This window comes from Homo sapiens, chromosome 20 (genome assembly GCF_000001405.40).
Source record: "Homo sapiens chromosome 20, GRCh38.p14 Primary Assembly".
NCBI lineage: Eukaryota > Metazoa > Chordata > Mammalia > Primates > Hominidae > Homo > Homo sapiens.
In genome coordinates, this window is record NC_000020.11 from 38,464,389 (window position 1) to 38,487,249 (window position 22,861).

Below are 22,861 nucleotides of genomic sequence, written 5' to 3' on the forward strand. Positions count from 1 at the left end.
ATATACACGTATATATATACATATATATATACACATATATATATATACACACACATATATATATATATATATACTGGCTGTGTGTGGTGGTGCACACCTGTAATCCCAGCACTTTGGGAGGCCAAGGCAGGCTGATGGCTTGAGCTCAGGAGTTCAAGACCAGCTAAGCAACATACTGAGATCCCATCTCTAAAAAAAATACAAAAAGGCCAGGCACAGTGGCTCACACCTGTAATCCCAGCACTTTGGGAGGCTGAGGTGGGCAGATCACGAGGTCAGCAGTTCGAGACCAGCCTGGCCAGCATGGTGAAACCCCATCTCTACTAAAAATACAAAACATTAGCCGGACATGGTGGCACACACCTGTAATTCCAGCTACTCAGGAAGCTGAGGCAGGAGAATAGCTTGAACCCAGGAGGCGAAAGTTTCAGTCAGCCAAAATCACACCACTGCACTCCAGCCTGGGCAACAGAGCAAGACTCTGTCTCCAAAAAAAAAAAAAAAAAAAAAAAGCCGGGCATTGTGGTGCCTATACCTGTATTTGCAGCTACTTGGGAGGCTGAGGTGGGAGGATTGCTTGAGCCCGGGAGGTTCAGATTGCAGTGAGCCAAGACTGCACCGCTGCACTCCAGTCTGGGTGACAGAGTGAAACCCTGTCTCAAAAAAGAAAAAATACTGTCCCTGCCAAATCCAAGACAGACAGCTTTTCTTTTTCTTTTCTTTTCTTTTTTTTTTTTCTTTGAGAGAGAGTCTCGCTCTGTCGCCCAGGCTGGAGTGCAGTGGTGTGACCTCAGCTCACTGCAACCTCTACCTCCCTGGTTCAAGTGATTCTCATGCCTCAGCCTCCCGAGTAGCTGGGATTACAGCCAGTTGCCACCATGCCCAACTAATTTTTGTATTTTTAGTAGAGACGGGGTTTCACCATGTTGGCCAGGCTGGTCTCAAACTCCTGGCCTCAAGCGATCTGCCTGCCTCGGCCTCCCAAAGTGCTGGGATTACAGGCGTGAGCCACCGTGCCTGGGTCAGACAGCTTTTCTATAGTGAAACAAATCACACAGGAATATAATTATGACCATTTTCCCTGGCAAATATCTAAGTAACTTTAAGGTTTGTCGGGTCCTGTGTCATAGGTGTTGCCATGTGTGCTACCTTTTTCAGAAGGCCCCATTTACCTTGTAAACCTCTCTTCATCTCTAATAGGCCCTGTATGGGCTCTGCTGTCTCAGTTTTAACTGTCTTCTGCTTGATGTGAGTTCAGCCTGGGGATATAAAGCTTTGCAGAGCCAATGCCTTTGCATTATTCCCTGAAAGCTTGACTAGGGAGGCCAATCATTATGGGCCAGGGTGGGATTCCTTGAACTCTCTTGGAATGGGCTCACCAAGGACTATCTTTGGTTCTAGGAAAACCTATCATTTTCTTTCCTTTAAATTAAGCGTTTTCAGTGGCATTGGCTCAGCCAAGCATCCCTAGCATTTCTACTTCTCAACCATAGGTGAGTGGTGCTCCCATGAGTTGTGCAGTACACAACCTGCACAGCCATATGTGGCAGTTGTGCAGGGGTGGCAGTTCTGCCTACCCTCAGTGGAAGATGGATGGAGATTTGTTCTAAGGTAAACCTGGGATGCATTCCTCACATATGCAAGAAAGCTGAGTGAGTGTAAAATTAGAAGTCCATAGATGGAGAGAGGCAGAGAAACAGGACGGGGAGTCTCAATGGAATTCCAGTTCCTGGTGTTGTCTTGCAAGTCTGACTTGATCTCTGCCCTCCCCCTCATTTGATTATGTAAGCTTTCCAATCAATATTACTCTTTATTTATTTCTTTTTAGCATAAGTTAGGTTTCTGTCACCAACACATTCTGGCTAAAAGCCTGAGTCTTTTCCTTATCTTGCCCCAAATGGCCAGTTATTGTGGAATTCCACTGGGTTTTGGCTGTTGGATGAGGCACTGCGGGTATTTTGCTTATCCAGGTTGACTTTCCCATCTGTGACACTGGCCTACCTAATGAGGGATTCCAGCAAACAGGATGGCATGCTGAGCTCTCAAAATAAACATGTATGGCAGCCTTTGCACACAGTATTCAGAAAACAATCCATTATCAGTGGCTTGCCGTTATTTTTTGGTCCCTAAATGTATTTTCTGGCATTAAAAATAAAACAGCAGGTATGCTCCCTCCAAGAAGGAGAAGTGTGTGTGTAAATTGGGCCTTTTCTACTGGAGGGGGTGTTCTGGGGTACAAGTGAGGGCCCAGTGAGGGCTCAGGCTGACAATCAGGACTACTTGGAAAATAGTGTTCTCAAGAGTGGAGGAAGTGGGCTCAAAGGAGCTTGAGGAGACTATAGGGGGAAGCGCAGGACACCAGCCAAGGCAGTCCTGGAGTGTGCAAGGCCCAGGACCAAGATTTTTGGCGTGGCCCCTGTCTCTTTCTGTTCTAGTCCAGGAACCATCTCTTCATCTTTTTTCTGTTTGTTTATTTAATGTAAAATGTGCCATTCCTGCTTACTCTTATATTCTCATCACAAAAAATGGTACATTGTTTGGAACCTGTTACTATTGAAGATCTTGCTTTTGCAGTTCCCTAATACATTTATTTAATGCTGGATATATCATTATGTACGATGCTATATCATCTATGGGTGGCTGACTTGTTCTCAAAGATAGTTACTGTGCCTTACTGATGAGAACTACAAATATAAATGTTGCCAAGAGTATGCAGGAAAATGTGCATGATAATTTATTTTCTGGTCATGTTAAATTTACCACTGGGAATTTTTTTCTTCAATGTAGGACAACGCCTCTTACAACTGTATCTTGACCTCTTGAGGCCCAAATCGCTGCATTCCTATAATGTGGTTGCTTTCAATGATGACTGCACCCCTGCCTTCCACATGCCACCATTAGCAGGGAGCACAGCAAGAGGCCTGTGAGCAGAGTGAGAAGAGCAAGCTCATTTAAGCAGGATACTTCCATCTCTTATTCTCCATGGCTTAAAACCGGTGAGAGAATAATGTCTCAACTGGAGGTGTGAAAGTACATCAATAGGAGGTGTATGTTGGTGTTGGGGAGCAACATCTCAAAAATCCTTGGTGGATGTTATGGACTGAATATGTGTTCCCCCCACCTCCCGGCCCCAAATTCATATGCCGAAGCCCTAACCTCCAATGTGATGGTATTAGGAGGTGGAGCTTTGGGAGGTAATTAGGTTTAGATAAGGTCGTGAGGGTGGAACCCCCATGATAGGTTTGTTTGTTTGTTTGTTTGTTTGTTTATTTATTTGAGATGGAGTCTTGCTACCTCTATCGCCCAGGCTGGAGTGTAGTGGCACAATCTCCGCTCACTGCAACCTCCGCCTCCCAGGTTCAAGCGATTCTCCTGTCTCAGCCTCCCGAGTAGCTGGGATTACAGGCATGCGCCCCCATGCCTGGCTAATTTTTGTTTTGTTTTTTTGTTTTTTGAGACAGAGTCTCGCTCTGTCGCCCAGGCTGGAGTGCAGTAGCGCGATCTCGGCTCACTGCAAGCTCCGCCTCCTGGGTTCACGTCATTCTCCTGCCCCAGCCTCCCGAGTAGCTTGGACTACAGGCATCCACCACCACGCCCAGCTAATTTTTTTGTATTTTTTAATAGAGATGGGGTTTCACTGTGTCAGCCAGGATGGTCTCCATCTCCTGATCTCGTCATCCGCCCGCCTCGGCCTCCCAAAGTGCTGGGATTACAAGTGTGAGCCACCGCTCCCGGCCTAATTTTTGTATTTTTAATAGAGACAGGGTTTTGCCTGTTGGCCAGGCTGGTCTCGGACTCCTGACCTCAAATGATCTGCCCGCCTGGGCCTCCCAAAGTACTGGGATTACAGGCGTGAGCCACTGTGCCCAGCCGGGTTTAATGCCTTTATAAAAAGCAGAAGAGACACCAAAGCTTCCTCTCTCCAACATGTGAGGACATAGCAAGAAGGCAAGTGGGGAAGAGGGCCCTCACCAGGAACCAAATAGGCCAGCACCTTGATCTTGGACCTCCCAGCCTCCAGAGCTGTGGGAAATAAACATCTGTTGTTTAGACTGTGGTACCCAGGCTGTAGTATTTTGTTATAGCAACCTGAGCAGACTAAGACAGAGGACATAGGCATGGCCAATCCTGGAGGACAGACTGACAGCTGATCCGGAGTCTGCCAAAGTGGTGAGGTGACTGCCCTGGAGTCAGCTGGGGAAGGGGTGCACAGGTAAAGGATGCCTGCCACACGTATCCCCCTCCCCAAGATCACCCTGGCTGCAATAAGCCAGAGGTGGTACTCTGGTCTGAAGACAGAGGTATAAGCCAAGGCATATATCCACTCAGGCAGCTCAAGCACAAGCATTTGCAGAGCCCAGATCCTTGAACTCGTGCTGTGTCCAAGTGAGTGAAAGCATGTCAGCAGCATTTCTGACAGCCTAATCTCATATAATCTAGTGAAAGAAATTCTACACCAGGCAGCAGGAGTGAGCTGCTTGCAAGGCTGCTCTCAGAACCAGATCTGGCCATGACGACTCCATAAACATGAATTCTGGAGCTTCTCAGGGCATCTGGTTGACCCTACATATGTGTGAGAGATGGGTAGGGGTAAGAGAGAGGGTTGGAGAGCACCCTGAAGAGGAGAAACAGCAAATGGGACCCACAGGGAAAGGACTTGGTCTGGAGCTCGGTTGCCCTACCTAGATGGCACCACTCACCCTAGCTAGTCCCAGCCACTGGAGAGAGACTTAGAAAATTTCAAGGTAGAAAATTGTGGTCAACAAGAGTCACATGGGATCTGGTCTAGACAGAGACACCCTTCCTAAATGGCATTGCTAGCCCCAGAAGGGCACTTACAAACTTTTGAGGAATACAGTCCAAAGTGCAGGACCCTCTTAAGGCACAGAGTCTGGCACAAGGGGCCTCACTTGCCTGAATCTAATGGTGTTACTACCATCAACCACTGGATACTATCCACTAAGAATTAACAGTAGGAGCAAGAAGGTGGGTTCAGCACTGAGCCAATGAAGTTTCTATCCGTCCCCTCATCCATCCATCCATCCATCCATCCATCCATCCATCCATCCATCCAACACATGTTCATTGAGCACTTAACACCATGCCAGTATTGTTTTAGGTTCAGGAAAACAGCAATGGGTCTGACCAACTATTTCTACCCCAAGCTGGTACTGCACAATTAAAAAAGAAGGAAAAATAAAACAAGAAAAAAATGGCCACAGACGTATCTCACATACAGCTGTTCATTTACAAACTTTTCTCAATTATGGTTCTTGAAAAGTGTTCCAATTACTGCGACTGTATACAATTTAACCCAAAACTTAGTGGTTGGGGTAAATGACAATGTTTATTTTACTCATGAATCTGCTATATGGACTGCTCAATATTTTTCATGGATCCACATCTCTTATGGGCTGCTCTCAATAGGGTTAGTTTGTCCCTGCTCAGCTTGGTGTCAGGTTGGGGTGGAGGCTTGAAGCCTGGGGGCTGGAATCATCTGAAGGCTTCCTCACTCATATGTCTGGCTATTGATGCTGACTGTCACCAGAAACTTAGCTAGGGCTGGTAGCTGGAACACCTCTTCATGTTTTCCTTATGTGGCTTGGGCTTCCTCCCAACATGGTGGCTGGGGTCCCAGAGTGAGCATTGTGATAGGGAGCAAGCCAGGTAGAAGCTGTGTCTTCTTTATGACCTAGCCCCAGAAATCACATAGCATCACTTTTGCCCTATTGGTTAGAATGGTCACAGACGCAGCCAGACTCAAGGAGAAGGAACATCAATCCCACTTCTCAGTGGGAGGAGTGTCGGTTACATCATAAGGAGAACCATGGGATGGATCATATAGATTGGTATGGCATCTCCCAGAATGATGCTTTCAGGGTAAATAAAACAAAAAAGACTGGTGTAGTGATCTTTGGAAAAAAGTCTGTCACAAAAGCTTATACCGCTGCTCCTCTTTTTTCCAATTCTGTGCCTTTCCAAACACACTATACACAATGATATTTTGACATTACAGTTCAGATGAAGACATTCCCCAGTTTAGTCGATGTTTCTAGTTAGAGATCATGCCGTGGAACAAATTTGAATTGTGCACTATGTTTGGAGATCCAAAATGTTTTACTATGTGTAGCATCTCATGTGTCTCTTAAGTTTATTGTACATGTGTGCTTTTCTCAAATGTTTCAAAGTGTTCTAATGTTTAGTCTTTAATTTTCCCTCAAGGTATATGTGCGTATGTGTGTTTTATTTTTATGTTTGTTTAAGTGAAGACTTCAAAAGTTTTAAAAAATTAGCAAAGAGTGCAGAAAAAACATATCTTTTATGCCAGGCACAGTGATGTGTGCCTTTAGTTCCAGCTACTTGGGAGGCTGAGGCAGGTGGATCGCTTGGGCCTGGGAGTTTGAAGCCAGCCTGGGCAACATAGCGAGGCCCTGTGTCTTAAAAAAACAAACCATCATTTAGAGAACCACTCACTTGCATCTCTCCTCCACCAACTTGCACCTAATATTAAATCTTGTCTTTCTGTCCAGAGCAGTAAGTCTTACTGCCTTACATGTTATGTAAAAACCATATTTTAAGCAAAATTATTTGTTTGTATAATTTTCTGTTGCATCAATATATTTTTTCTGTTAAAAATATTTAGGTGCCTTAGGCTGGAATTGAACACAATTTTGCCCATTTTAATTAATGGGAAAAATTTAACAGCTTTCCACTTAGAAGCAGAATTTCAGGAATGAATTGAAACCACTAGAAGGGTGATAGCTGTATTTTCATCATCTCCCCAAGGGCTTTGGGACAGCTTTCCCATCCTCTGTGCCTGTCACTTTTCCAATTCCCATCACCCGTTGTTCTTCCAGTTAGTCACCCCTCCCTTGTCTGTTACAGGGGTTCAGTATTAATTGTGTTAGAATGCATCTGGTTGCAAGTAACATAAAACTCAACAAACTCTGGTATATATAAGATCCCTCATCCCGATAAGACAGGAAGGTAGTACAGGGTTTGTGTAGCTGCTTGAGTATGACTTAAACAAACAGGCTCCTGTCTTTCTGCTCCACCTTCCTCAGCACAGCCCTCCTCATGGCCTCTAGGCTGCTGTGCTCCCAGGTGTTACCCAGTTCCAAGCATGAAGCAGGGGAAAAGTGAAGGACACAAACTTCTCCAAGGGAAGAAGGAAGGGAAGGTCTCCTTTGATACTTCTGCCTACATCTCAGTGGCCAGGACTTTGTCTCACTGCCACCCTTAGCAGCAAAGAAAGTTGAGAGTTGTGTGCTTTGCTTTTCAGCCCCTGTAGTATAGAAAGGCAAGGGAGTGGTTGAAATAGATCTTGAGTTAGCCAACTACATAATTTGTCACACTGTGTTTAATTGAAATGTATTGCTTGGATCCAGTGTCCTGGACATAGCCTCGTTCCTGTCCTAGCACATTCTTACCCTCCTTTTCCCTCTTCCTTCCTGTAGCTATTTTTCTGGGGGGTGAGGTGTGGTCTTGAGGAAACACTCTTCAGTTTTACCCTTTCTGTGAGGATACTAGTTCCCTTATCACTCATTCCTCCATAGTCTCTTCTAACTGAGGTGAGGAGTCAGAATCTTCTTTGCTCCCTTCTGCTTTTCAGACAACCGTGCCTTCACCTCTACTCAACACCCTGACCCCTCCTCCCTCTCTCAATACCCAAGGTCAGTCTCAAGGCCAGGTCCTCCGTGAAGAATTCCACCATCCCTCCCTCCTCTTCTTTCTCAGTCCAAGTTTCCTCCTTTAGATTCTCAAAGCACTTAAGCTGTACCTCTCCAATGGTATTATTTTCTTCGTTGAAGTGAAAGCAAATTATTGAAAGTGGTACTGTTTACAAAATGTCTAGCGCATGGCAGGTGCTCGAAGTAGTATCTCTTAGTATTATTACTACTGTCTTATCTCGATCAGATTCAGCTCTTTAATGAGAGGCTCTAAATCTTATGTTCGATTCACCTTTGTAACCCACACCGGGCCTGGAATAGAGCACTGTTCATAATTAATGCTGTGCCCGTGTAATAAGACGGCGGCGAGCAAAGGGCATCATTTCAGAGGAAGAGTGCTGTAATGGTGGGATGGGAGAAATTCCTAGAACCTAGGTGGGAGCCAGAATCTTGCAGAGAAGCCCCTTATCCGTCTGCACCGAAAGCAGGTAGAGTGGATGCCGTAAGATTCCTAAGGACGCAGGTAGAGCGCCTCCTCTGTGCCGCGATGAGGTAGGTGCATCCGTCACTTCACTCCTCCCTCTCCACTTGATCCGGAATGGGAGGAACGCAATGCGTCCCGCGCGGCGATCTGGGATAGCTGCGCAGGCGCAGCTTCCGGCTCTGTGTCTCGGGAATTATTTGACGCCACCGGTTCAGCCCCGTAGAAAGCTCTGATTAGGCGCACCGCGCACGCGCAGTGGCCCACTTGGCTGGGGAGTTATTTGACGCCGCCGCCCCTGGCAGTCGGAAGTTGCCTGAGCAGATCCCAGCCGGCTGGCTCGAGTGGCCTTCGTCGTCCCTTGGCGCCCTGGGAGAGTCGCTGACGGGTGGACTGACGGACCGCCTGAGGACGGCCGGCCAGGGCGGTGAAAGCGCCAGCCCTATGGCGCGGGTCGCGTGAGGCGGAAGGCCGAGGACGGCCGGCGGCGGCGCCCGCCCCGGCGATGCGGGCCCCGCCCGTCGCCTCAGGTAACCGGGCAGCCGGCCCCGCCGCGGCCGGACCCTCCCCTCTCCTTCCCTCTCTTCCCCACCTGGCGGTCAAGGGACGGCTGAGGCTTGTTTCTCGGCTCTGGGTGCTCCAGGGGCCCGGCCTTTGGAAGCTCATCTGCAAATTTTTGGGAGACCCACGGGGGCGGGGAAAGCTTGGCCCTGGAGTGGGCGGCTGCTGTCGAGTCTGTGTAAACCCGGTCTAATCCTTGGGAGCTACCCCGGCCAGGCGAAGCTCTCTCCTGGCAACCTGGGGGAGGGGGCGGGTCTGGAGCGGAGCTAGACAACTCCCGCAAAGAATTTGGTCCAGCAGAAAGGTTAGGCAAGTTGCTGCCGCCCAGTGGGGACGATGCTGCCCATTGCACAGTGACACTTTGATGAGGGAGAGTTGATGATGGGAGTAAACAGCTAACCCCCATTAAGCGCTTCTTATCCGCCAGGCATCATGCCAGGCCATTACGTTCTCCACGTCTAACTTCACAGCAACCCTGTGAGGTAGGATTGTTGTCCCCATTTTACTGACGAGGCAACTGAGTCCCTGGGTGGTTGGGTGACTTAATTACCCAAGGTCACATAGCTAGTAATTTGAACCGGAGCATCCGACCCAAGTGCTTAACAATTAGGGCAGTGGCTCTCCAACTTTGCTACACTGTAGAATCACCTGGGGGAAATTGTAAAGGTTTCTGATGCCCATGTGGCATCCCAGACCAAAACAATCAGAATGTCTGGAGTTGAAAGCCAGACTTCAATATTTTTTTTTTAAAGATGCCCAAGTGATTCCAGCTTGCAGCAAAGTTTGGGAACCGCATGTAATTTGATAATTCTGCATCTCAAAAAGCATCTCTCTTTCTCCAGCTTAAGTGTGCAGGAGAATTGTCTGGGAGCTTGTTAAACTTGCAGGTTCCACCCGCAGAGATCTTTAGGTTGACTGACCACTACACCTTGTGAAAGACTGTTAGGGATGGAATTCTCTGCAGGGATTCTGAGTCATCTGGAACATTTAAAATGTATGCATCTTATGCAAACTGCTCGTTTGCAATTTTCCTAAATATACAGTACTTATAGGTGTAGCGTCTGTAACCTCTGGGTCGTTTTTACATATGCTGGAAGTCTGCCTAGACCATCCTCTGAACGTTCTGGCCATCCCACCCAAACGCACACACTTCTGCTCTCTCCTATATGCATATACACACCCTTTTCTTTTCTTTCTTTCTTTTTTTTAGACAGAGTCTTGCTCTGTTGCCCAGGCTGGAATGCAGTGGCATGATCTTGGCTCACTGCAACTTCCGCCTCCTGAGCTCAAGCAGTCCTCCCACCTCAGCCTCTCAAGTAGCTGGGACTACCACGCTTGGCTAATTTTTGAATTTTTTTTGTAGAGATGGGGTTTCTCCATGTTGCCCAGGCTGGTCTCAAACTCCTGGGCTGAAGCAGTCCACCCACTATGGTCTGCCATAGTGGTGGGATTACAGATGCGAGCCACTGTGCCAGGCCTACATACCCTTTTCTTCCTGTCTCTGGCTGCATTAGCTTTAAGCATTCCCTTCAAGATACCTCTGTCCCTGACCCCTACCCACCTTGAGTCCTTCCAATTTGCTCTTTAGGAACATCGTAGTGAAACTTATCAGTTATTTTTCTGAGTTGTAGTTCTATCCCTACTTCTAGATTATGAGAAGCTTTAGGGCAGGGACTATGTTTTCTTCATCTCTGTATTCCTTCCAGTGCTTTGACATACAGACTCACAAAGCTTTTACTCAGTGGAATGTTTGGGTCCTTTTATGTCATAGATAGATCATGTTGCGAACAGATTCTTCTCTATTTCCATTTTTGTAAAAGATGTTTGGTAGTTCCCAGCTTATAGAGTTTTGTTCTTTTTGCTTAGGAGTGAGTATTCTAGTTATGTTCAGCAATTTGTCCAGCAGTTGAACACACACATTGAGTTCTTACCAATTGCAAGGCACTCTGTAACTAACCATGTGCAATCAACATTGTTTGATTTTTAATGTCTGATTCTATCACAATCGGACGCAATCATGTCTGTAGGGAAAGTCTTTTTATTACTGTTAGACCTTTGCATGTGTTCCCTACTTCATTGTCCAAAAAAGTGTTTAGTTGTCATCCACTAAATGCCACTGCCTTGTTGGTATTTGGTAAATACAAGCAGATGGGATTGCCATTGGTAATGTTTGGTCCTGTTCACCAGGAGAGAGGACGTTAAGTACTTAATGAAGAGTAAAATCATGTTGTCACAGGAATTGACAAATTTAGCACATATTTATTGCAGAATGCCTGAACTGCCATTGCCCCATTTGCCATATTTACAAGTTTAAAGGAAGGCAGACCAATAATTCAGATTGGATTTGTTCTTGGTTGGTCTTAAAACCATGTAAGGATTTGCAAAAGTTAGTGAATATGTGTGTGAAGGTCATTATGAGGAGGTTTTTGGACAATAAAGATTTTTTTTTGTATAGCAATTAAACATGACAAAGTATGTAGACTGAATTAAAAACACATTTCATAAAATTTTTTTTTTCTTTTTTTTTTTTTTGAGATGCAGTCTCGCTCTGTCCCCCAGGCTGGAGTGTAGTGGCGCAATCTCAGCTCACTACAACCTCCGCCTCCTGGGTTCAAACGATTCTCCTGCCTCAGCCTCCTGAGTAGCTGGGACTACAGGCACCCACCACCACACCTGGCTAATTTTTTTGTATTTTTAGTTGAGAGGGGGTTTCGCCATGTTGGCCAGGTTCATGTCGAACTGCTGACCTTAAGTGATCTGCCTGCCTAGTCCTCCCAAAGTGCTGGGATTACAGGCATTAGCCACCGTCCCCAGCCCATAAAATATTCTTTATAAGGATTGTTATAGAAAAATTTTCTTGGTTCCGTTTTGTATTATTTGGTCAGTTTTTAGGCTTAGCACTAATAGAAACTGATGGGACAACTTATGTTAAATTCAGATACTCAAGAAACTTGTCCTTGTGTGTCTGATCAGATAGGGACACAGTATCCAGTTCTTGCTTTAGCACATGGAAGAAACTCAATCTTTAAGGCTGAAGGTTTAAGTCTGTAGTTGTGCCCCAAAGTAAAGGTGAAAAATTCCACATGCTCAGAGAACAAAAGTGACTCTAATCATGATAGCTTGGGACCTAGAAATGGATTCTGTTTAATACGAGGTACTCATCAGTGTTAGCAGGTGTGTTTCCTGACATGTGCAAAGACTTTTTGGGCAGAATAGTTGATTTTCTTTGGTGCGAGATGATTTAAGTTTTAAAATTAAGGTGCATGGAGTTTCATTCTAACTTTTTATAGATGCGGAAAGTAACTTGGTCAAGGCTACATGGTTAGCTTCTAGCACCTCCAGGACTAGAAAGCAGGCCTCCTTCCTCTGGACGGTGTCCCCTTTCGCCCCCGACCCCTTCCCCATGAGAAAGGTTGTCTTGTGTATTGTTGTGTTGTGTTTGCCTGTCTGTGTGTGCATGGGATAGGGAAGGGGAGAGAGTGATCTGCTATGTTTGAGAAACTCAATTAGATATCTAGAGGCCCCTCGACTTATGATGGGATTACTTCCCAATAAACCTATCAAAGTTGAGAAGATCGTAAGCCAAAAATGCATTTAATATACCTACTGAACAGAATAGCTTAGCCTCATCTACCTTAAACATGCTCAGAACATTTACATTAGCGTACAGTTGAGCAAAATTGTCTAGCACAAAGCCTATTTTATAATAAAGTGTTGAATATTTCATGTAATTGATTGAATATTGTACTGAAAGTGAAAAACAATGGTTATGTGGATAATCAGAGTACGGTTTTTACTGAACGCATATCACTTTCACACCCTGGTACAGTTGAAAATAATAAGTTGAGGATAGTGAGTACTTGGTGTGTGAAATGCACTTAGCTATATAAACTGGGAATACAAAGATAAATAAGACACGGCCCCTGTCCTCAAGGAGTCTAATCAAAGTTATAATAAAATAATAGTGTAGTATCTGAAGCAGCTCTGTCAAATAGAATTTTCTGCAATCATGGAACTAAATCTTACTTGCTCTAATATGGTAGCCACTGGCCACATGTGACTTGTAAGCATTTAAAATGACTAGTGTAACCAAGGAAGTGATGTTTGACTCAAATAGTTTAAACTTAAAACTATTAAAATTAAAAGTTTTTAAAATTTAAATAGTTACATGAAATAGCTGCTGTATTGGACAGAGGTCTGTTTTATGCCTCAGAGAAGGTCTCAGGCATAAAAGATGAGAACTGTGGTGGTGCTGGTAGGGGGCAGACAGGGTATTCAAACGTTCTTTGGGTAGCTTACCAAAAACTACCATTTTCCATGTTTTGGGAGAGATGCAGGCAGAACCTGTCTTTGTTTCCTGTAATTCAGGTGTTTGATAGGATCTCTAATAGCATCTGGTACATAGGTGAATACCTTCCTTTTTTGCCAGCTTTATTGATGTTTGCCTTATGGGGTCAATGGGACTGCAACAGCAATATGAATCATGAGGTTATATGGATGAATTTGGTGCACCTTAAAAAAAGCACAGTTTATTTATTTGCTCAGTGTTTTAGCACCCTGTATCCTATTTTTCCCAAGAGAAATAGGCATGTCTTATAATGTGTACCTTCCATTGGTACATTTCAAAGTATGTCAACTTAGGTTGCTTTATTTGATCCTTCTCCCAGGTCACTCTAGATAGGCACTGCAGGTATTCTCCCTGTTTTACAGATGAGGAAACTATGACAAAGAAATGCCAGGTCACCGAGTGCGGTGGCTGACTTGTAAACCTAACACTTTGGGAGGCCGAGGTGGGAGGATTGCTTGAGCCCAGGAGTTTGAGGCCAGCCTGGGCAGCATAATGAGACTTTGTCTCTATAAAAATTTTTCTAAAAATTAGCGGCGCATGGTGACACACACCTGTGGTCTGTTACTTGGGAGGCTGAGTGGGAGGATTACTTAAGCCTGGGAGGCAGAGGCTGCTGTGAGCCGAGATCGTGCCACTGCACTGTAGCCTGGGCGACAGAGTGAGACCTTGTCTCAAAAAGAGAAATGCCAGTTGACTTATCCAAAGTCATATGGTGAGGTATGGAGTCAGGACAAAGGGAAGTAGCATTGCACTTTGAGGCAAGAGGTGGAGTTTCTTGTCCCAGATCCGCTGTTACTTGATGTGATCCTGAGCAAGTCATAGCTTTACTTTGTTTCCTTACCTAGTGGTTAGTGACGTCTGTCTTACCTAACCTTCTAGGGTTGTTATTGGAATAAAATGAAGTAACATGTAAAAGCTCTTTGAAAATGATAAATTATGCAAAGGTACAATGTGCTCAAGCAAGACCTCAAGTAGTTTTTCTTTTTTTTTGAGACGGAGTCTCGCTCTGTCACCCAGGCTAGAGTGCAGTGGCGTGATCTCAGCTCACTGCAACCTTCGCCTCCCAGGTTCAAGCTATTCTCCTGCCTCTGCCTCCTGAGTAGCTGGGATTACAGGCAGCCGCCACCACACCCGGCTAATTTTTTTATTTTTATTATTATTTATTTTATTTTATTTTTTATTTTTGAGACAGAGTTTCGCTCTTGTTGTTCAGGCTGGAGTGCAGTGACGCCACCTCGGCTCACCGCAGCCTCCACCTCCTGGGTTCAAGTGATTCTCCTCCCTCAGCCTCCTGAGTAGCTGGGATTACAGACATGCGCCACCACGCCCAGCTAATTTTGTATTTTTAGTAGAGACGGGGTTTCTACATGTTGGTCAGGCTGGTCTCGAACTCCCGACCTCAGGTGATCTGCCTACCTCGGCCTCCCAAAGTCCTGGGATTACAGGCATGAGCCACTGCACCCGGCCAATTTTTGTATTTTTAGTAGAGATGAGGCTTTGCCATATTGGCCAGGTTGGTCTCAAACTCCTGACCTCAAGTGATCCACCCGCCTCGGCCTCCCAAAGTGCTGGGGTTACAGGTGTGAGCCACCACATCCAGCCTCAAGTAGTTTGTTTTGTTGTATTATGCTGCTGTCGTAACTCATCAGTTACCATATTGAATACTACTGTACCATGGTGTCATCTTTGATTTCTCTTGTCTTCCTCACTATGAAACTTTCTCTTGGGCAGCCATTGTGTTTTGTTTATATTAGGATTTGTCCTAAATCCTAGGACAAATTTGACATGTAGCTGGTGTTTAATGTTTGTTTAATGAAATAACTGATGTCTGGATGTACTTTACAAAGTTTTAAAGAATTGTTTTTTGTAATGAGACTTGAAGCTCCTTGGGAACAGGGATGTTGTTTATTTTCTGTGCTTGTTGCATAGAAGGCATGTAATAAATATTGTTTGAATCAATTGATGTAATTAATGTCAGGCTATGGTCTTAGAGTGTCCACCATTGTATTGATTATTTTGGTAATTTGTCATTTAGACCAAACTTGCATGTTATTTTGCGGTGGTGCTTACAAGCCATAAGCTGTTACCCAGCACACACAACCTCCAGAGAGAATACCTAGAAAATGAGTACATATAGAGTTGGGAAGGAAATTAAGGGATCTGCAGGGGAGCACTGTTGACTTCTTCCCCTTCTTCCCATTATATTTACTTCTGGAGCATTGAAGGTAGAGGTTTCTCTGCTAGCAGCTCAGGTTGATAGCAGACAGCCACCTGGGGAGGGGACTCAGGATCCCTAATATAGCAGTTGAAGTCCTTAATCATCTAACTTGACAGTTATATCATTATATCTCACTACAGTGCCTGAAACCTCCCTGTTACCCCCCTGACCGCCCTCAACCTTAGCCTATATGGTAGCCACATTGGAGTTTGCTCTTCTACTATCCCTTCAGTGTATCTTGGACACTTCCATCAAATTGCTTTAATGGAAATTTAGTTCCCGATGTGTCATGCCTGTGGTAAGGTTAAACTTTCTTCTTTTTTTTTTTTGTTTGAGACAGGGTCTTCTTCTGTTGCTCAGGCTGGAGTGCAGTGGTGCGATTTTGGCTCACTGCATCCTCCACCTCCTGGGTTCAAACGATTATCATGCCTCAGGTTCCCGAATAGCTGGGATTACAGGTGTGTGCCACCATGCCCGGCTAAGATAAGGTTAAACTTTTGCTCATTTTCTGCCTCCAGTTTTACTGAATTAATTACAAATATTCAATCCTAACATTCAGAGTCCTTCAAAATTGGTCACTGCTTACCTTTGAAACCTTACCACCTTCTACATATAGCTTTCTTTCCTTTGGCTCTGGGTTTTCGGTTTCTAGTGCTTTTTTTTTTTTTGCTACCTGAAGCAAGTTTCCTTTCTTTTATGTATTTTCTTTTCTTTCTTTCTTTTTTTTTTTTTTTTTTTGAGATGGAGTCTCGCTCTGTCACCCAGGCTGTAGTGCAGTGGCGTGATCTTGGCTCATTGCAACCTCCGCCTCCTGGGTTCAAGCGATTCCTCTGCTTCAGCCTCCTGAGTAGCTGGGATTACAGGCGCACGCCACCATGCCCTGCTAGTTTTTGTATTTTTAGTAGAGATGGGGTTTCACCATGTTGGTCAGCCTGGTCTTGAACTCCTGACCTCAGGTGATTTCACCTGCGTCGGCCTCCCAAAGTGCTGGGATTACAGGCATGAGCCACCACACTTGGCTCTTCTATGTATTTTGTTCTCTCTTTTATCTGTGACTCCCCCACCCCCGCCCCCCCCTTTTTTTTTTTTGAGACGGAGTCTCGCTCTGTCACCCAGGCTGGAGTGCAGTGGCGCAATCTTGGCTCACTGCAAGCTCCGCCTCCCAGGTTCACACCGTTCTCCTGCCTCAGCCTCCTGAGTAGCTGGGACTACAGGCGTGTGCCACCACGCCCGGCTAATTTTTTTTTGTATTTTTAGTAGAGACGGGGTTTCACCGTGTTAGGATGGTCTTGATCTCCTGACCTCGTGATCTGCCCATCTTGGCCTCCCAAAGTGCTGGGATTACAGGCGTGACCCACTGTACCCGGCCTCATCTGCCCCTTTTTACCCTCAGTCTTATCACCTCAATTTTCTTACCTCCATCAAAATTATACCCTTCCTTCAATGCACAATTCGTATGCTCTGTATCTGTAGTCTTTCCTGATCTTACCCTGTTGTTTTCCAGCTCAGCCTATCTTTCAATCAAAAGTAATCTTTTTCCTTTGAACTTCCGTGGTGTCTTGCCTATAGTTTTTAAAAATATCACATTCAACATTTTAATGTTCTAACTTATGTTATAGTTATTTATGGTAGGTATTAGTCTGTTTTCATGCTGCTGATAAAGACATACCCAAGACTGAGCAGTTTACAAAAGAAAGAGGTTTAATGGAGAAATCCTAGTTCCACGTGGCTGGGGAAGCCTCACAATCATGGCAGAAGGCAAGGAAGAGCAAGACACATCTTATGTGGATGACGGCAGGCCAAGAGAGAACTTGTGCAGGCAAACTCCGGTTTTTAAAAAGCCATCAGATCTCGTGAGATTCATTCGCTGTCATGAGAACAGCGCAGTGAAGACTTGCCCCCATAATTCAGTCACCTCCCACAGGGTTCCTCCCATGACATATGGGAATTGTGGGAGTTACAATTCAAGATGAGATTTGAGTGGGGACACAGAGCCAAACCATATCAATGTATACATCTTAATCTCCTTAATTAAGCCATAAACTCATTGAAAACAGGAACCAAGTCCTATTAATCTTTCTTCTTCATGGTTTTAACACTGCATTGGACAAAATAGATGGTTAATAGCTGTTTATTGAATAAGTCTACTTGGTGGTCCCCGCCAGTGTCTCTGAATGTTCATATGTATAGTCAGGATGCTGACATATACTTACCAATTCTATGACATAAAGATGTAGTAATAAAAACATATTACATTAAGTTGTACCAACATTTCTACCACTAAGTTAAAACTACAGTTGACTCTCGTACATCATAAGGGTTAGGAGCACTGACCCTGTGCAATCAAAAATTTTCAAGTAACTTTTGACTCTGCCAAAACTAGTAATAGTCTTCTGTTGACCAGGAGCCTGGCCAATAACATAAACAGTCAAATAATACATATTTTGTATATATATTATATGCTATATTCTTAAAGTAAGAGAAAAGAAAATGTTATTAAGAATTAGAAGGAAGAGAAAATGTATTTACTATTCATTAAGTGGTAGTGGATCATAAAGGTCTTCATCCTCATCATCTGCATGTTGAGTAGGCTGAGGAGTAAGGGGAGGCATTAGTTTTGCTGTCTCAGGGATGGCAGAAATGGAAGAAAATCCATATGTAAGTGGACCTTAGCAGTTGAAACCCATGTTGTTCAAGGGTCAACTGTACTTGCATTTCTCTACCATCCTTCTAATCTTTAGTCACAGCTGTATGTTTATCTTTTTTTTTTTTTTTTTTTGAGACAGAGTCTTGCTGTGTTGCCCAGGCTGGAGTGCAGTGGCGCCATCTCGGCTCACTGAAACCTCACCCTCCCAGGTTCAAGAGATTCTACTGCCTCAGCCTCCCAAGTAGCTGGGATTACAGGCACACACCACTAAGCCCAGCTAATTTTTGTATTTTTTAGTAAAGACAGGGTTTCACCATGTTGGTCAGGCCGGTCTCGAACTCCTGACCTCAGGTGATCCACCCACCTTGGCTTCCCAAAGTCCTGGGATTACAGGCGTGAGCCACCGCGTCTGGTGTATGTGTTTATCTGGTTGTAATTATGATATATATGTTTTTCTTTCTCTAATAGTTATTTATTGATTGCTTACATGGACAAGGGCATGTTTCAAACGGATTACATATGTGATTCTTTAATCACCACCACAAGAAACACAATGTGTAGGCTCCTAATCTACTATTTGCTTTTTTTTAGACAGAGTCCCGCTCTGTAGCCCAGGCTGGAGTGAGTGAAGTGGCACAATCATGGCTCACTGTAGCCCCAACACCAGGATCCAAGTGATCCTCCCACTTCAGCCTTCAGAGTAGCTGGGACTACAGGTGTGTGCCACCACGCCTGGCTAACTTTTTTGTGTTTTTTGTAGAGTTGGGTTTTCTCCATGTTGCCTAGGCTAGTCTCAAAGTCTTGGACTCAAGCAATGTGCCCGCCTCCGCCTCCCATGGTGCTGGGATTATAGGCGTGAGCCACCATACCTGGCCTTATTCTATTATTATCCCCATTTTACAGATGAGGATGTTCCAACACAAAAGTAGAGTAACTTTTGCAACGTTACCCAGCTTGCAGGTAGAGCTGGGATTTGAATCTATGAAGCCTAGTTCCAGAGCACTGGCTCTTAACCACTCTCATCTATGTTTTTATGCTTCTCTGTAATCTCAGTGTTTAATGGCTACATAATAGTATATAGAATTAATATGTCCTAATTATGAAATTTTCCCATTATTGATGGAAGTTAAATTACACCCACTTCCCCATCTTATATGTAATACTACAGTGAGCATCTTGTACATTTTTAAAAATTGAGCTGTTTTATAAGGATAAACAAGTCAAATTACCGGGTCAAGGCACCCTTTGTCTTCTGCTTTGTACTGGCAAAACGTTCATGCTATCCTTGGGTGAATGTTTAGGAAATGACATATCAGCCTGAGGTGCCTTACAAGTGTGCCAACTTACTAACGGGATGGAGCTACAAACAACCCCATGGCAAGTAGACTAAGACATGGCAAGTGTGATCAAGACATGTGAGGGTTCTGCCATGGTGCTATCCTGAGAGGTTGATTCTTGCCTAGGAGGGCCTAGGTGGTGCAGCAGTACTGGCTCCTGAAAGTAACGTTCTCCAGGATCTCCAAGGTTTGTTGCTTTGGATAGCCTAAGCCGCAACAGCAAGAGGAGGTTCTTATTTGTGTGTTTAAGAGTAGGCTGGGCAGGCGCAGTGGCTCATGCCTGTAATCCCAGCACTTTGGGAGGCCGAGGTGGGTGGATCACAAGGTCAGGAGTTCGAGACCAGCCTGGCCAATATGGTGAATACTAAAAATACAAAAATTAGCCAGGTGTGGTGGTGGGCGCCTGTAGTCCCAGCTACTCAGGAGTCTGAGGCAGGAGAATTGCTTGAACCCAGGAGGCGAGGTCACAGTGAGCCAAGATGGCGCTATTGCACTCCAGCCTGGGTGACAGAGTGAGACTCCATCTCAAAAAAAAGAAAAGAAAAGAGTAGACTGGCCACTGACAATACTGGGCCTAATGGAACTCCCTCTACCAAATCTGTCACTGCACTTTGCCTTCATCCCTTTTTTCCCTAACAGCAACCACGATGAAATAAAGTGAAGTTGTAGGACCTCCATAGTTGGGTTATAAGCCCAGCCCCAGCAACAAAGGTGGGTTGGGGTGACTTCTGGGGCACCAACAGCTTATACAAAGTATACACTTCACTATCCTCTTTCCACAAGGATTTTGCTATAATTCAGTTACCAAAACTAGTATATGCCTTTATCTGTGATCAGAGGCATAAATTGGACCATAGATAAGTTCTTTTTTAGCTGACATTGTGTTTTTTTGTTTTTGTTTTTGTTTTATTTTGTTTTGAGTTTAGTTGATAACATTTAAAGAGTAGGAGACTGTAGAAATGTCCAGATTTTCTGTGTCTCTTCAAAAATTGGATTATCTGGCAAGTCTAGGTCTGCATTCCTTCTAGGTGACAGCTAGAACTGTGTAATAGCTGTAAACAGAGCTTGTATACTAGCTCTTGTTGCCCAGGCTGGAGTGCAATGGCGCGATCTCGGCTCACAGCAACCTCTGTCTTCCAGGTTCAGGTGATCCTCCTGCCTCAGCCTCCTGAGTAGCTGGGATTACAGGCATGCACCACCATGCCTGGCTAATTTTGTATTTTTAGTAGAGTTGGGGTTTTTCCATGTTGGTCAGGCTAGTCTCCAACTCCCAACCTCAGGTGATCCACCCGCCTTGGACTCCCAAAGTGCTGGGATTACAGGTGTGAGCCACCACCACACCTGCCTGGTGATGTGATTTTTCTAGAGTTGTGAACAGTTCTTGGTTCTAAAGATAATGAAGCTTAGTCTTCCTCAATTTATATGATTAATTGCATTATTGGAAAATTCAGTCTATTAAAATAGCACAATATATTTTGTATTTATATGTAAATGAAGTTAATTTTTAGGCTCAGACAATGGTTTTCTAGCAGATGTTCAAAAGTCATGTGAGATGTGGCATAATTGTTCATTGTGCAGGACTGTCTCATGCAGTACAGGATGTCTAGATTTCCTGACTCTGCCTGTAATACCAGCAGCTTGCCCTACTCATTGTGCTAACCAAAAGTACACTTATTTCCACAGTGCCTCTAGGTGACAGGTTTTTCTATTAAAAATCATTGCCCTAATCTCTCAGTTGGGTCCTTACCTCCTCATCAGAGTTGAGTTTTTTGTTTTTTTGTTTTTTCTTTTTTTGAGATGGAGTCTTGCTCTTGTCACCCAGGCTGGAGTGCAGTGGTGCGATCTCAGCTTACTGCAACCTCTGCCGCCTGGGTTCAAGCCTCTCCTGCCTCAGCCTCCTGAGTAGTTGGGAATTACAGGTGCCCGCCACCACACCCGGCTAATTTTTGTACTTTTAGTAGAGACGGGGTTTTGCCCTGTTGGCCATGCTGGTCTCAAACTCCTGACCTCAGGTGATCTGCCCGCCTCGGCCTCCCAAAGTACTGGGATTACAGGTGTGAGCCAGAGTTGAGTTTTATCGCTTGTTTTGTTAGTTTAATAGGTACAAAATGATACTTTAGTTGCCTTTGTGTTTTTTCCATGTTTGTTTCTAATGTTTATGTTCTCTTCATTGTTTTACTTAATATATCCGTAATTATAATGCATTTCTTTGTTTTAATGTTTTTTGTCTGCATTTTGTTAAAGTTTAGCATCTTTTTTCTGTTACATATATTTTGATGTTTTAGTTCAGCTTTTTCATTGTATCCTTTCTATATCTTTTTTTTTTTTTTTTTTTTGAGATGGAGTTTTGCTTTTGTCGCCCAGGCTGGGGTGCAATGGCACCATCTCTGCTCACTGCAGCCTCCACCTCCCGGTTTCACGTGATTTTCCTGCCTCAGCCTCCCAGGTAGCTGGAGTTACAGGTGTGTGACACCATGCCCAGCTAATTTTTGTATTTTTAGTAGAGACAGGGTTTCACCATGATGTTGTCCAGGCTGGTCTCGAACTCCTGACCTCAGGTGATCCACCCACCTCAGTCTCCCAAAGTGCTGGGATTACAGGTATGAGTCACCACGCCTGGCCTATATCTTTCTATTTTACATGTTTCTTGAAAGCATTTTTTGGTTTCATTTAATCATTTAAACATTAATACATTTAGAGAATGAAAATTTCTTACATTTAAAAACTTAAAAAAAGTTTGTCAGAAGGATTTAATAGCTATTAAACCTATTTTGATTGGTCTTTCATAAGGTATACTCCTCTCTTCAGAATTGGGAGGGTAGTGGCCATTTCTTAAAAATGCAGATTCTCAGGCCCCAGCTCAGACCTGCAGAATTGAGCTTTTTCTGAATGGGGTCTAGGAGTCTGCATTTTCAGCTAGACCCTTTCCTCCCCTGATGATTCTTAAGTGTACAGTAGAGTTTGAGAGCTAGTTTGTCCTTTTTTTTCTTCTTAAAATCTGTTTTCTTCCAATAATATGCTGTGATGGATCCTGAATATTAAATATTCATTTAGTATTTGGAAACCATCCAACTTTTATTTTTACTAGTAATTAGCTTCAAACAAGTGAACATTTTTAAATTTTTATTTGAATATAACATACAAAATTTTGGACACACTTTAGTGGAATAGAGGGAATACCTTCTGATATCTTCCTTTTTCCCACTGGTAAACCTTGACACTCTCAAACACATGGTCAATGTCCACTGTGTGCTAGGGACTCAGAGGTTCAGGAGGCAAGGTCCCCACCCAAAAAAGGCTGACACTTTTGTGGTGAATGTATCCGTACACCACTAATGAATGAGCTAATGGCAGCTTTATATGAACATCCGGTAATAGGCACTCAGCTGAGAGGAGTTGGTCTAAGGAGTCAAGAAAGGTTTTACCAAAGAGAGGACATTTGAGTTGGGCTTTGAAGGCTGAGTACTTCATAAGATGGATCAAGGCAGGGAATGGCAGTTCAGTCAGTGGGAGCAGCATGACCAGTGACTTAGGGTAAGAAAGGATTTGCTGGGCTTGAGCAATCATCAGTAGTTCTTTGTGGCCATTGCTTGGGATGT

General features: G+C 44.3%; 1 protein-coding gene across 3 annotated transcripts in view, besides 2 other annotated features; it reads left to right on the forward strand.

Annotated features, from left to right (window-relative positions):
- Positions 8,176-8,245: an enhancer, noted in NCBI's record as "active region_17860". NCBI's record gives its function as "activates an Ori minimal core promoter by ATAC-STARR-seq in GM12878 lymphoblastoid cells {active_cell/tissue: GM12878}" and the evidence as "EXISTENCE:reporter gene assay evidence [ECO:0000049][PMID:35858748]".
- Positions 8,455-22,861, forward strand: part of RALGAPB (Ral GTPase activating protein non-catalytic subunit beta) — a 106,016-nt gene continuing 91,609 nt past the window's right edge. For 2 of the 3 annotated variants that reach the window (NM_020336.4, NM_001282918.2), the window contains exon 1: positions 8,455-8,681. The gene's annotated coding sequence lies outside the window, so the exon portion shown is untranslated. The remainder of the gene's footprint in view (positions 8,682-22,861) is intronic. The other variant, NM_001282917.2, reaches the window with a different exon arrangement.
- Positions 8,536-8,735: a silencer, noted in NCBI's record as "silent region_12899". NCBI's record gives its function as "represses an Ori minimal core promoter by ATAC-STARR-seq in GM12878 lymphoblastoid cells {active_cell/tissue: GM12878}" and the evidence as "EXISTENCE:reporter gene assay evidence [ECO:0000049][PMID:35858748]".